Source organism: Homo sapiens, chromosome 20 (genome assembly GCF_000001405.40).
Source record: "Homo sapiens chromosome 20, GRCh38.p14 Primary Assembly".
Lineage (NCBI taxonomy): Eukaryota > Metazoa > Chordata > Mammalia > Primates > Hominidae > Homo > Homo sapiens.
Window position 1 is genome coordinate 19660674 of NC_000020.11, and position 14260 is coordinate 19674933.

At 45.8% G+C, this 14260-nt stretch overlaps 1 protein-coding gene across 1 annotated transcript in view; it reads left to right on the forward strand.

Annotated features, from left to right (window-relative positions):
- The window catches only part of SLC24A3 (solute carrier family 24 member 3), a 510285-nt gene that overhangs the window by 448032 nt on the left and 47993 nt on the right, over positions 1–14260 (forward strand). Inside the window, exons 8-9 of the mRNA NM_020689.4 lie at positions 5191–5216; positions 12928–12981. Of these exons, the coding sequence (NP_065740.2) occupies positions 5191–5216; positions 12928–12981 (80 nt within the window). The remainder of the gene's footprint in view (positions 1–5190; positions 5217–12927; positions 12982–14260) is intronic.

Genomic DNA, 14260 nt, shown 5'->3' on the forward strand with positions numbered 1-14260 from the left:
GAAGGGTAGATCTACTTTCAGTTCTTTAAGACATTCTCATACTGGAAAACTTGAGGTCCTTCAGCTCGTTGTGCCCTCATTACATTTCAGCCCTCAGGTCTTTCAGCTCATTTTGCCCTCATTACATTTCAGCTCTCTTTCTGGCAAAGTCGGAATAACTATGGTAGCAAGAAGATCCTCACCGAGAATGACTTTGACAGAATTTTAAGATCCTTAAACAAATCGACTATGGTCTTACAAAGGTCGCCTGTTTTGTAATCCCTGCTGTCAACAGGAGGAAGGAAAGTCCTGCTTTAATGACACTGGGTAAACTAGGAGGCCGGTTACACTCTCATTTGCTGCTTGGACAGGGAAGTGCATCCGCTGGCCTGGAGACCCCAGAGAGGAGCCTTTCATCTCTAACAAGGAAAACAACGTGGAAACTGTAGCTATGTGCTTGATTTTGGTTTTCCCTGCCCAGCAAACATAGTCCTTTCAGTTTAACAACCCCCATCTCCTATATCCTCAGTACTTGCCCTTTTTTCTTTCCTGTAGCCTGCCTTCATATATTTATACAACATGATCAGCTCGGCTAAAGCCCTGCCCGTAGGTCATTTTTTCCCTGCCCTTCTGCAACCACAACCTTCATCAATCAAGCCTATAAGACATCCTGAAGTAGGAATTTCTGCTTAACTTTGAAATATAAGTGATACTGGTGCCTAACAGCCAGCTTCCCAGTGTATTCCACTGGATCCCTCTCCTCAGATGAAATCACCATGGCCTTAGCTAAGCCGTCTGCACCCCCACCCAAGAGCTGAAGAAGTGAGAACTACACCCACTCAAGGGAGTTCCCGTGATATTGAGTGGGAAAAGTCTACGGGGGGCTGTTTTCTTTGCAGCAAGGAAGGAAAGAGTTTCAGGTTTCAGTCTCTTGAAAGAAAACGATGATGTTGATTTTCTCCCATTATTTTCACTGCTTAAAATTCTCATGGTGCCAGTGATTACAATACATGCTATGAAGTCTTAGCTTCAGCAATGCAGCCTCTCCTGCTTCATGGTGACAATTTACAGTAAGCAAACCCAGGGGCTGACATGGCGATGTTGAGACAGCCACCTGCCTCCCAGCTCAGCCAGCCTCTTCTCTCCCGCGTATACTAGGGGCTCCTGGCTCTTCCTCCCCTGCTCCTCCATGTTGAGCACTCCATTCCCTTGGCAGCTCTCTGGGTTGTTCTGATATCCAGGGATTCGCCGGCCTGATGTAAGCCCGTCTTGCTTGGAAGAATTCTGGAGCAGACACCAGGAATGAAAAGCCGGTTTCCATGGTACCCAGCCGTTTCTCTGAAGCCTGGAGGAAATGAGTGCTTTTTTCAAATTCATTCCTGTTGAACATTTAGCTCAGCAGCAGAACACGTGGAAACCTCAGGGCGAAGCCAAGGGTATCTTTGGATGAACCACATGTGGGTCAGAGGGCAGAGGCCCCCTGACCAGCTGGTGCTCAGCAGATCTGAGATCCAGCTATCAGTATCACCCTTGGTGGTCTCTGGGCTATCGCAGAGCCTGGCCCCCAAACAGAACCAACAGGGCACAGAGAGAAGAACGCTTACCCAAGGGTTGCTTTCACAAATCTGATGGGGAAGAAGCTGAGTCAGTTCCAAAGCCCACAACAGGAGGTCCGTCAAGTGCAACTCATCGTTGAGGACAGAGTGTTGACCCCAGGACAGAGCACCAGGCAGGACCTGCCCCTGGAACACCACCTTGCCTCAAGACAGCAGCGGCTAAAGCCGCCTTCAGTAGGCTGCCTGCCTTGAGGTGATTCCCTTCCTTCCAGGAGATTTAATAGAACTGCGAAAATGGACTTGAACTGACTTCATTTCAACTTCACTACCTTGGCAGGCTGGACATGGAGGGAGGACTGGAACGTGAGCACCACTTAGTGGTCATTTGCAGGAACTGCGGGTGCAACTTGTTCTAGTCTAGAAAGAAATGATTTCAAGTTTTCTTCTACACTAGTAATACTTATCTAAGGGATGGGGGATGTTGCTTTGATTTCTTTTACTCTCAGCTAGTAGAGCATAAACTACAGAGGGATACGCAACACGTGTCTTAAATGTATTGAATAACATGAAATCTTTAAGGAATAACAAATTCATTTCCTAACCTTCAGCAAACTCAAGTGAAAGGAACCTCATCCTTGCCGTTTGTAGAGTTTTCTGAGGGAGCGATTCAAATGCTCCATCAAGATGGTCCAGCAAGGTACCCTCCCGATGGAACGTTCTGCAAACAGCGCCAGTCCTAATTTCCAGTCTTCGGAAGAGGCGATGACCAGCTGCTTGTTCTCCAAATAACAGCACTGAATGTTCACAGGCAGTTGATAGCTCATCTCCACCTTCTTTCTCATGATGAGGAAGCCCTGCTTCTGTTTAGAGTTTTTTTAGAGACAGGGTCTTGCTGTCTCCCCAAGGCTGGAATGCAGTGGCCAGATCATAGCTCACTGCAGCCTCAAACTCATGGCTCAAGTGATTCTCCCACCTTGATCTCCCAAGGTGCTAGGATTGCAGGCATGAGCCACTGTGCCAAGCCAATTTAGATTTTCTCAGAGTCCTGATTTCTAGTCCCTTTTGTTCATTTCATTGTTCTTTTCTGAGTCCTCTCATTCCTCCACACAGTCCTCTCAAAGGAGAAGGATAAACCCGAATGATATTTGCCATCAGCCACAGGGTAGAGAAGCCCTGACTTTGTGGAGGCCTCCTCCTCCACCTCCTCCTCCTCCTCCTCCTCCTCCGCCTTCTCATCCTCCTCCACTTCCTCCTCCTCCTCCTCCTCCGCCTTCTCATCCTCCTCCTCTTCATCTACCCTTATGCATTCTGAGTGATGGGGCATCTTCACACAAGGCAGAGATCAAAGGGGAAACTATATCAGTTATTTGCATGTTTCCGGATCTCCTCCATTAGTTAGTACTTGTAGTGAGATCACCTGCATTTCTCTTTCCCTGTCTGCCTCCCTGAACCATATCCCCAACCACAGCTCCCCAAGCCACAACCATCCTCTTGACTCCAGGGTCATGAAGCTCTGGACCTAATTGCATATTTTGTCCAATCTCACCCGGATTTGCCCACTGTTTCTCTGATTATTGTGCTCCTGTTTGGGGTCCCTCCTAAAATTAAGCCCAATCTCATTTTTTCTTTGCTATGATCATTGAAATGATCAGTAGCTAAAGTCCTATGAATCTCAGGGCTGACTGCTAGCAGACAGGAAGAGTACTTTCTTCCAGGGTGAGCGATCTCCAAGCTTTTCCTTTGCAGAATCTGTGCCCCACCTATGGGGAGGATCACTCAGAATAAGGGCTTTCTAAAAGCTGCTTTCATATTCTATGTTATTGCCTGCCTTCCCTGATAGAAGAAAATTAAATTGGCCTGGTCTAATAAACTCTTTCTCAATATCTTCTGTTCTCTTAAGTGGCTACAAATTGATTGTTCCAGCCTGCTGCAAGGACTAATATTGAATTAACTTCAATTAATAGAAAATGTTTTCTATCTTAAATAATTTGATCTGCTCCATGATTTTTTGGCAACAATCTTTTTTCAAAAAAGAAAGTTGGGGGGGTTATACAAAAGAGCTGTCAATGCCTTCTAGGGGTTGGGTACCATGCCATTCAACCTGGATTATGAGATTGTTGCCTTTATTTCTTTAATTCTCTGCCCATTCTAGTTTGACATTGTCATCCCAATGTCAACTTGTTGAATCTGATAATAAAGATGAAAGTAACAAAAATGATGAAGCCCACATTTCCAATGGCTTGTTGGGAAGAATGAGTTACAAATGAGCACAGCTCCTTCCTCCTCATCCTCATTTTGACCTTCAAGATAATTGGAAAGAGTTGCTTTATGCGCTTTGTGACTGGTGCCCTGAGGTGTTCTCTACGTCTCTACCCAGCTCATGGTTACTGCCCTGGCTGGAGGCTGATGCCATGCCCGCTTTGTTAACTGAGTTTCCCATCTCCAAGTTGTGATGGCAGTTGACACCCAGAGTGTCCTGCAAGTGTCTGCTTCAGTCTGCAGAGGGCTGCTGCCTCTAAAGGAAAGGCCGCTCTGAGACGACCATACTCAAAGCAGTTGTCCTTCAGGAGTTTGAGAAGAAAGAGCTATGAACCATGTCCTCGGCTTCCTACTTCTATGAAATATAGGTGTACTCATTTGGTTTCGGCAACATGTCATCAGCCATGTGTGTCATGAAAAGGACACCAAATTCGGAGCTGGGGCTGAGTTCTCGAGCCAATTCTGCAGCAAATGGAGCAAGCCTAGGAAAATTACTTATGTTCTCTGTGACTCAGTTTCCCTGTATAATCAAAGGATTACACTAGGCTTCCCCCCATGCCCCCACAAGGTGGGAAATGATTTTAGATGGTATATAGACCAGGACTTCAGTAGATTAAATCCTGCCGTGTATTCTCTCTGTATTCTCTTTCAAGTCCTAACTGATGAGTAAACCTCAGTGGGGTGCTAGTGTGCCTTTGACTGCTTCTGACCCCTAATAATCTTCCTTAGTGAAAGGGCAGGACCATGCCCAGGGCTTGGGCGCCAACAGTGTCCAGATGGGATTTGCAAACACCATTTGTTGTTAATGCACTTATTTTTCGGGGTGATGGCAAGGAGTGTTGATCCCCTACTTCTGGTTGTGATGTGAAGTTTCCTTTGAAAATAAATTATTTTAAGGAAACAAAAAAAAATCAATTAAAAGAAAAAATTGAGCCCATAGAAGTCCAAGCACTTGCATAAAAACTGAAGATGCACAGACATGCAGAAATCTTACAGAGACTAATATTTGGAAGAACCTGCTGAGCTCCTACATCCCCTTGCAGATCTAAGATTCTACAATGGGCCTTGCTTTACAAAGCAGGTTAGTCACACTTCCCTGTCACTCTGATGTTGTACAGAAATTGCAGGAAGAAGGGAATTACCTGAGGCTGTTCTTTTCCACACATGCCCACCCTGATCTACCAACACCTCCTTCCACTAACACTGGCCAAAGGCCAAACCAGTACAGAGGGAAGTTTACCCACAGGGACTCCAGGTCCCAGGACAACCCAGTCCTGATTACACCATCCCAGGAACAAGGTGGATACTGCGTGCAGCCTTAAAGCGTGTGTGTGTGTGTGTGTGTGTGTGTGTGTGTGTGTGTGTCTAATCTTCTATTCTTTTTATTTTTTCACAGTTTATTTATGATGAAAAAGTTTCCTGGTAAGTACCTCTCTTTCCCCTTCTCATTTCTGAATGTTATGTTGCAGAGCCAAATATATTGAAGACCAGTGTTGGGATTCAAGAAAGAAAGGGAAGTGTCATGACAGCTTAGAATGAGGAGAATTTCCTAGGAACCCTCTGCACACCTCAGGGGAGAAATTAAATTCATTTTCACAGAGTCAAGACCTTTCCTCTTGGGCTAGAGTGGTGGGGTTCTATTTGAGATCCTAATATCTAAATGTCTTTATTATCCTATGTCTGGACATCATGGCTTAGCTGTGTCTTTCTACAGTCAGCCATGTGCTAGGGTAGAGTTAAGATTTGACTGATTTTTGGGCCGGGCACAGTGGCTCATGCCTGTAATCCCAGCACTTTGAGAGGCCGAGGCGGGTGGATCACGAGGTCAGGAGATCGAGACCATCCTGGCTAATACGGTGAAACCTCGTCTCTACTAAAAATACAAAAAATTAGCCGGGCATGGTGGTAGGCACCTGTAGTCCCAGCTACTCAAGAGGCTGAGGCAGGAGAATGGCATGAACCTAGGAGGTGGAGCTTGCAGTGAGCCAAGATCACACCACTGCACTCCAGCCTGGGCGACACAGTGAGACTCCATCCCCCACCCCCCAAAAAAAAAATTGTGTCCAAACCAAGCTCCATGTTCCCAATCCCACGTTTATCTTAGGAATTAGGACCCAGGCACTTCTGTGACCATTAATCCATTAAAGTTCCCCCTGACTTTCAAAAGATCTTAGAGCTCTGAAAATTGGTGTTGTTGGGGATGTTTTATTTTGATAGAAACTGTTGCCCAAATTGGCCCGGCATGGTGGCTCATGCCTGTAATCCTAGCACTTTGGGAGGCCGAGGTGGGCGGATCACCTGAGGTCAGGAGTTCGAGAACAGAAACTGTTGCCCAAATTAAATATATGGCAAGACATTTGCATTTGGTCCAACTGTTCAAATCCTCGTTTTCGAGATGGGTTCTGAGCAAATCAAGCATGTTTGAAATGGAAATGGAAATCGAGTGTATTGTGCATTCTCGTTACATATTTTCCGAATATTTGATCTACAGAGGTAAGCAATGTGAAATAACATATTAGGAATAGGCGTAGGTAGAAAATCTCCCTGGTATTATTGAAAGCTGTGAATGAGCCAGAAAAAGTAGAGTCCACCAGGCTTCACTTTCAGCAAAATGACTGCTAACTCTTTGTTGGTGTGGGCCTCTCTGTATCTGAGGACATCTCTGACTTTCAGAATTAGGGGGCAGTGGAGAACCCATCACATTGATGATAAATGTTACTTGCTATGTCAAGGTATTAAGATACTTTTGCTAACTCTCCTCTTTGCAAGAAGAAAGAGGAGGAGACAGCTAGGAGAAAATGAGAAGGAGGTCTTCTTTGAATCATAGTGACCAATAGGCTGAAAGGAATTGACATGCCCAGGAGCACCCCAGATCAGAGAACCTCCTTGTTATATCATCCTGGAGGTGGCTGCCAAATGGAGTGAGGGGCATTTTTCCCCCCTGTCCTTGGGGATAAAGTGCAGCACAAGAAAACTTCCAGAAGCTGATGGCGTAGTTAGCACAACCACTGCTCCGCCTTAGCAAACAGTAGGTGCTTCAACGTTGCTCAGTGGTGCTAGTCTTTGCTAATGACACTCCCCAAAAGACAAACAAGTTGTGATCACAGTTGATCTCAGAAATGTGTGTGCAGCTGTTGTGCAGAAACATGTTAGGAAAGGCTACCCAGGATGGTTTGCTGTCAGCCTTAGAGGGAGCCGTCTTTTCTACCACCTCCATGGCATTGCTGTATGAAAGCCATGGCAAGTGAAGAAAGCAGGCTTCACCATCAGCCCATTTCACTCCGTATCCTCAAAACATCTCGGGATAGTTCAGATGGTTTGGAGCAAGAAAAGGAGTGTCTATTTCATCTTCATTCCTAAGTTTTTCCCATGATGTTAGGTAACCCCATCCTAGGGTAGGTGCCCGAGGCTGCAGCAGAAGGGTCTAGATTCTGGAAGGTACAAGTCATCAGAGCCCTCGCCCTGAGCACCGAGGCTCCCTCTCATCCAATTATGAGTAAGAGGCTTGGAGGGCCATGGATACATGAGTTGCAAATCCCCTCGTGTGTCTTGATCTATCTGGGGGGCATTGGAATCATAAGTCATGCACAGTTGTGGCTTCCAGGGAAGAATTGGCCTGGGGGGGCCTTGGTGGCACCAGAACTACATTCTTCCCAGAGCACTGGCCTGTCGTGTAACTTGTTATTACACGCATGGGCTGATGAAGAGCATTTTGCACGTGAGTGAGGCTGAGAAATTAAAGTCTGTGCCACTGGCCCTTATCTACTTTGGGACTCCCGGGGATTTCAACTTCTCATTTAATGGATGAAAAATAATGGAAGTTTAAGAATTTTTTACTGTTCACTTCTTCTATCTTCTTACCAAGCCAATCATGACCATTTATTTTGCTGAAATGGTGCGTCTAGGTGCTGATTTCTCTCTTTAAAATCAGAGTCTTCAGTCTGTGCAATTAAAGCACAGTAACATTTTGAAAATACCTTTAACAGAGAGTTCCATTCCTCATTATAGAACATTCCAGCATGGCCTAGAGATTTCAAGGCAGGTAACCAGTTCACCCCAAAAAATCTTCAAAAGGAAACAAATTTCAATTGTGTTTATTTCGAAACTACAGTACTCTTTAAGAGGAAGTGAGCTTTGTCAAATACAAATACACCAGGACAAAGTACCCCTGTCATGCAGTTCAGATTCTTTCACCATTCCTGAAGCAGCATTCTGCAGGAAGTCACATTCAGTCAAAAAAATGGTGGTTGACAGTTAGTCAGGATTGATTTTAGTAGCAGGTACTAGAAGAACCAGCTACAGCGTATTGAATACATACTGGTGTATTTTTCTTACTATCAGTGCCCCGGATGTAGGTGGTGCTGTGGCTCTGCATTTCCCCTGGCCTTTGCCTAATGGTCCCAAGATGGCTGCTGCAGCCCCAGCCACCAAGTTCATATTGAAGAAAGGAAGGAGGAAGAAGGGGCACTGTTGTTCTTTTTGGCACACTTCCACCTTGCATCTCTTTGGTCGCAGAAGGGTCTGCCTTGACCACTGAGCAGCCAGGGAGATTAGAATGACCACTTTAGACCAATCATGATTCATGCTCAGGGCCTGGGGTCAGGCGCACCCTCTTTGAGATCAGAAGGGCTCCATTTGCTGCCTCAACCTAGTGGGTGGGGTTCTCTTAGCAGGGAAGAGGCAGGGGAATAGTGGTGAGTGCTCTTCGGTTAGGTGCCTATGTGCTAAAAGACACTTGACATAGGAAGCATCGGCAGGTCATGGTGGCTCACGCCCATAATCCCAGCTCTTTGGGAGGCTGAGGCAGGTGGATCACTTGAGGTTAGGAGTTCGAGACCAGCCTGGCCAACATGGTGAAAACCCATCTCTACTGAAAATACAAAAATTAGCCAGGCATGGTGATGCACACCTGTAGTCCCGGCTGCTCGGGAGGCTGAGGCTGGAGAATAGCTTGAACCCTGGCAGCGGAGGTTGCTGTGAGCCAAGATTGTGCCACTGCACTCCAGCCTGGGTGACCGAGCAAGACTCTGTCTCAAAAAAAAAAAAAGAAAAAAAAGTGTCAGAGGCCCACATATTAGGATGTATGCTCGACCCACAGAGCATTCCCGTGTTGTTGCCAGAAGGAATTCGGAATGTGTCTTCAGGGAGTCTGAAGGCCCAACAAGAAAACTAAAGAACGCAGGGCGATGGTTTGGTTTCTTCTTTTGAGTCCGAAGTTGTGACTTTGGGAGAGAAAAGAGACCCTGGGATTGCAACCTGGAAACTCTTCTTGGTGGGGCTGGAAAACAGCTTTTGCTGTTCTGGGATGTGTTCAGGAAACCAGAGCCAACAGTGTACCCAGGTGAGGAGAGGAGCAGTCCTCACATCTGAGAAGGAACCGTCTTTGGTGAGAATCAGGGACCCGTTGAAAATGATTCAAAATGGAAGCCTGGGGAGGGAAGAAACAAACCCAGATCAGCTACAGAATGGGATCCTCAGAGGACAGCGGGTGAGGTGTGCTCAGGAGGAAAGGGGAGAAGGTGCCCAGCGTCCTAGGTGAAAGGGCGAGAAAGGGGACCAAGGAGGGCCGGGTGACTTCCAAGGTCTGGATGCTTCCTAAGCACCTCCTCTACGCCAGGGAAACATGTCGTACAAAACCAGAGCTGGCCCGACCTGGAGCTCTCTCAGGCTGGAGGGATGCAGACCCTTCACATGTAACTGTGGGACCACATGGAGAGGCTCACCACACTGAGGAGAGGGGGTGGGGGGAAGGGCCCTGAAGAGCATTAGGCCAAGGCTTGATGATCCAAATTCAACCAGGTCAAAAATGCATGAGGAACAGCAGGTGGGGCGGCACAGAGGCCTCCTAGAGCCCACTGGGTTCAATGGGGAGGAAGCCTGGTGAGCCCTGTGTCTGAAAGCCAACAGAGCAAACTTGAAATGTCAACAAAAGCAAGGAATCTCATCCTACAGGCATCTCTGCAAAATGGCCAGAGAGAACCTGGTTTGAATATTGCAACAGAAGGGCTTTTGATGAGTAAAAAATTGAAAAGATCTAAAAGAATTAGAAAGAGCATACATACGCCTGTTTATAAAGTGCTGGACTTAATTCAATCTGACTACAATATTTCATTAAAGTTGATTCATTTTCTGGTGACTTCTCACTGAATCTATTAAAATGCATCTAAGCAATAACGTGACATCCCTTCAGAACCTGGGAGCCTGTTCCTTCCAAATGAATGGGCTGTGAATAAATCTCACTTTTCACCATGAAGTGTATGCTACGTATACATTGGTGTCGATGAGATAAGAACTATGTTCAGGCCACTGGAGGCATTTTGCAACTGAAAATTGATGTTTGGAGGGAGTGTCACCTGCACAGATGAGCTGATGGCTGCTTTCTGCTGGGGAGAAGAGGCAAGTGGGCAAGACCTGGGGGTGTCTGCGTGGGGAGAAATCAGTTGTCGGCATTTTAAATCTCTGGATAATGAGACACCAGATACCAGGGAAGGTGTCAGGTGTGAGGAGTGGTGTCAAGTGACTGCTAGAAACAGGTGTTAGTTACATAATAAATGAGTAATAAATATATAAACAAGATAATCACAGACTGCTTAGAGGTTTGAAGAACATAAACAGGGTCATGTGAGAGAAAGTCGGGCAGGGGCAGGCAGGGAAGATTGCTTGGAGGAGGTGATATTTAAAAGCTGGTATCTGCAGGATAAAAGTGGCCAGCCAAGGAGTGAAGGCAAAGCCATTCCTGGCCAAAAGAACATTCAGTGCAAAGGCTCTGGGAGAGGGAAAGAGACGGCTGTGTGCAAATGAAAGGCCATTGAGGTGGGGCACAGATAGGACACAAGACAACATGGAGACAGAAGAAAAGGCCAGGATTTGCAAGGAAAAAGGAAACTTTCATTTTTTTTCTTAGGCATTTTGGGAAGTAAAGATTTTAAGAAGTGCATTGACATGCTCCCATAGTATCAAGGAAACCAGTTCAGAGGTTGAAGTGAAAAATGACCTAGGGAGGGCACAGTAGAGAAGAAAGAAGTCAGTGATTGATGAAATACTTGAGACACAGAGTCCGATGGATATGGGAGTGAGGAAAAGGGAGTGCTCCATATTGATTTCCAGATTCTGGGCTTGACTGGGCAGGGAGTGGTACAGTTGACTGAAAGGACAAAGCCCAGGGTTGGTTTTTTTTTTGTTTTTTTGTTTTTTTGTTTTTTTGTTTTAAGGAGGCTAGGAAATAAGAATGAAGAATTCTGTTCTGATAGACATTTAGACTTCCAGGTGCAGAGGCCAAATATATGAATCTGGAGCTGGAGAGAGGTGTGGTGTGGATGTGTAAATTGGGGGTCATTATCATGTATTTGGTATTTATAGCAATAGGTCAGGATGAGGTCACCTAGGGAGAAAACATAGGCAATAAAGATGGCCCAATAATGAGAGGATGAACTGAAGGAGTGGAGGAGGCAAAGGAGATGGAGAAGGAGAAGCTGGGGGCAGGAAGGAAGCCAGGGGTGTGGCCTCTCGGCAGTCAGAAGAGAGGGTTTTATGAAGCGGGGCAGATGATCTCCTTTCAGATGCTACCAGGAAATCGAACAGGATGATGGACAACCACCCACTCATGCTTGGACTGGTGTGGATAGAAATCACTGGTGCCCTTGACAGGTGATTCAGGAGATCGGGGGGTGTGGAAGTTAGGCTAGAGAAATTTGCCAACTGAATGAGAGGCACTGAAACGCAGTGTGCACAGCCCTTTAAGAAGTTTTGCCATGACAGAAGCTGAGAAATGTGGCAGAAATTGAAAGGGCTTGGATACCCTGATTTCCTCTCTCAATAGTGCATCTGAGCACTTTCTAGAATAAATACCTACATCTTTGCATAATTTGTTTTGGAAGGGAGATGGAAGAAAGGGTTTTACTGTGTCGCCCAGGCTGTCGTGCAGTGGTGTAATCATAGCTCACTGTAGCCTCCATCTCCTGAGCTCAAGCAATCCTCCCGCCTCAGCCTCCCCATGTAGCCGAGACTCCAGGGGCACACCACCATACCTGGCTAATTTTTTAATTTTTTTCTGGAGACGGGGTCCTGTTATGTTGCTCAGGCTGTTCTGGAACTTGGGGACATAAGTGATCCTTTCCTCTCGGCCTCCCAAAATGCTGGGATTACAGGAGCGGGTCACTGTGCCCAGCCTGCATAATCATTCTTAATGGATACATGAACCTACGTATCATTTATGTACCCAGTGCCCTATTTTATAACCACCTGGCTTCCTTCCAGCTTTTCACTTTTTTATAAACACTGCCGCAGGAAAAACCCTTGTGTATGTATCCTTTTCACATTTGACCAAATATTTCTCTAGGATCAGCTTCTAGACATGGAATTTGAAAAGAGAAAAGGAAGGATGGGTATAACCTGGAGTTTCCTCATCTGACCATTCTCCAGTAACCTACCACTGAAGCCAAAATTACTCCCTCAATGAGCTGATTTGATTCTGTAGCTAAAGCGAAACCTGGAAAACAAGCTCCTGGTTTTTAGTTGGAAGCCACTAAGATAAAGAAAACAGAAGTATTCAGACTATTAGAAGCTCAAGGCACATTCTAGCAGGTTTTTCTTTTCTTCCTTCCTGTGGAATGTTTTCCCACTTATTCCTTCTTACTCTTCGACTGGTACCTTCCCTGCCCAGGTTCCGTCTGTCTGTCTGCCTGCCTCTCTCCCCACTTCTACCCTTTATGCCTGGCTCCTATATATACAGCAATCCCTCAGGCATCCCCGGCAATTCCTCTAATTTTAGTTTCCCCTTGTAAATATGTCTGAATAGTTTCAGTGAATGATTAAGCTGAGACCAGATGTATACATATTGACCTATATTCAGCAACGTGTATGAAAGGCTTGCTGCTTTCAAAGAGCTCTTTTAGGTGACAAATAACAGAGAGGAAGGGGCATTTTCCCTTTAGGTGAGGAGAGAAGAGAAAGATGGTTGACAGCCTTATGCAGCATAGAGAATGTCTCTAGACCAGGAAATATCCGTCACCTAGCACCGTCTGCCTTCTCCTTACTATCCTGGCCGTTTGCATCAAATATGTCTTTAAAAATGAGGCAGGTGAGTTTCACAGATGTCCATGACTGTCTTTAACTGTTCTTGGTTTACACACAGGTGGGAGTCTTTAGTCCTTGTGCTGATGTATCTTATCTACATTGTCATCATGAAGTAAGTAAAATTTTTCATTTCTTATCCAAAACTGTTTCTTGCATTCCACATTATGTGATGATGTGGGAAGAGGATTGGGGTGGGTATCTGACTGGTTTTTCAGTGTGTATCATCACAGTCACTTGGCTCCCTGCCAGACTGTTGTGAGTCACTGTAATTTTGATTAGTATCAATTGTAGTGACCCTTCCAGCCCATATTTGATGATAGACTCAAAGCTTCAGTGTTTCACTTGAGAACTCTCTAGAACCCCTAATCTCTCTTCAGGATCTGGCAGCTCTGGGAGGTTTCTTCACTCTCTTTCTTAACACAAAGGAGATAAAACTCAATATGTTACACTGCTATAGAGGGTGAGAGAAGATGCAAGGTAGTCTACTCAATATGGCAGCCAACATGAGCCAGCCATCCGGTGGTCTGTGTAGACCCAGTCTCTAGGGCTTGCTTGTGAAGGGAATTCCTAGGGTAGGACCTTCATCAAACATATCCTGGCATGGAGTTATCATGAGGTAACTGATGAAGAGTTAGTTAAGAGACAGCTGAAATCATGGATCAAATATCTGTGGACTTCCATTATTTATATGGTATTAGTCATCCACTGCTGCATAACAAACCATCCCAAAACTTAGTGGCTTAAAAGCACAAACATGTATTATCTCACACATTGTCTGAGAGTTAGGAACCCAGGAGCAGCTTAACTGCAAGGTTCTGGCTCAGAGTCTCTCATGAGTTTGCAGCCAGAGCTGCCATCATGTACTGGACTGGTGTGGGAGAACCTGCCTTCAAGCGATGCTGGCTCTTGACTGGCGGGCTGTTTCTCACCACATGGGCTCCTCCCTAGAGCTGCTTGAGTGGCTTCCTCCAGAGCAAGTGGTTCAAGACAGAGAGCAAGAAGGGCCCTGCAGCACCTTTTATAATATCCCAGAAGTCACACGCCATTACTTCTACCATATTCTGTTTATTAGAAGCGAGTCACTAAGTCCAGTCCACACTCAAGGGGCTGGCATCACTTAGTGAAGGGAAAAATGTCAAAGAACTGTTGAGGTATTTTAAAACCACCATGTTATGACATATGTTCTTTTCCCTCCTGGAGTTGGGGTAGCTTATTTATATCAAGAATTTGCCAGGCGCAGTGGCTCATGCCTGTAATCTCAGCACTTTGGGAGGCCAAGGTGAGTGGATCACTTGAAATCAGGAGTTCGTGACCAGCCTGGCCAACATGGTGAAACCCCATCTCTACTAAAAATACAAAAATTAGCCAGGCGTGGTGGCGTGCGCCTGTAA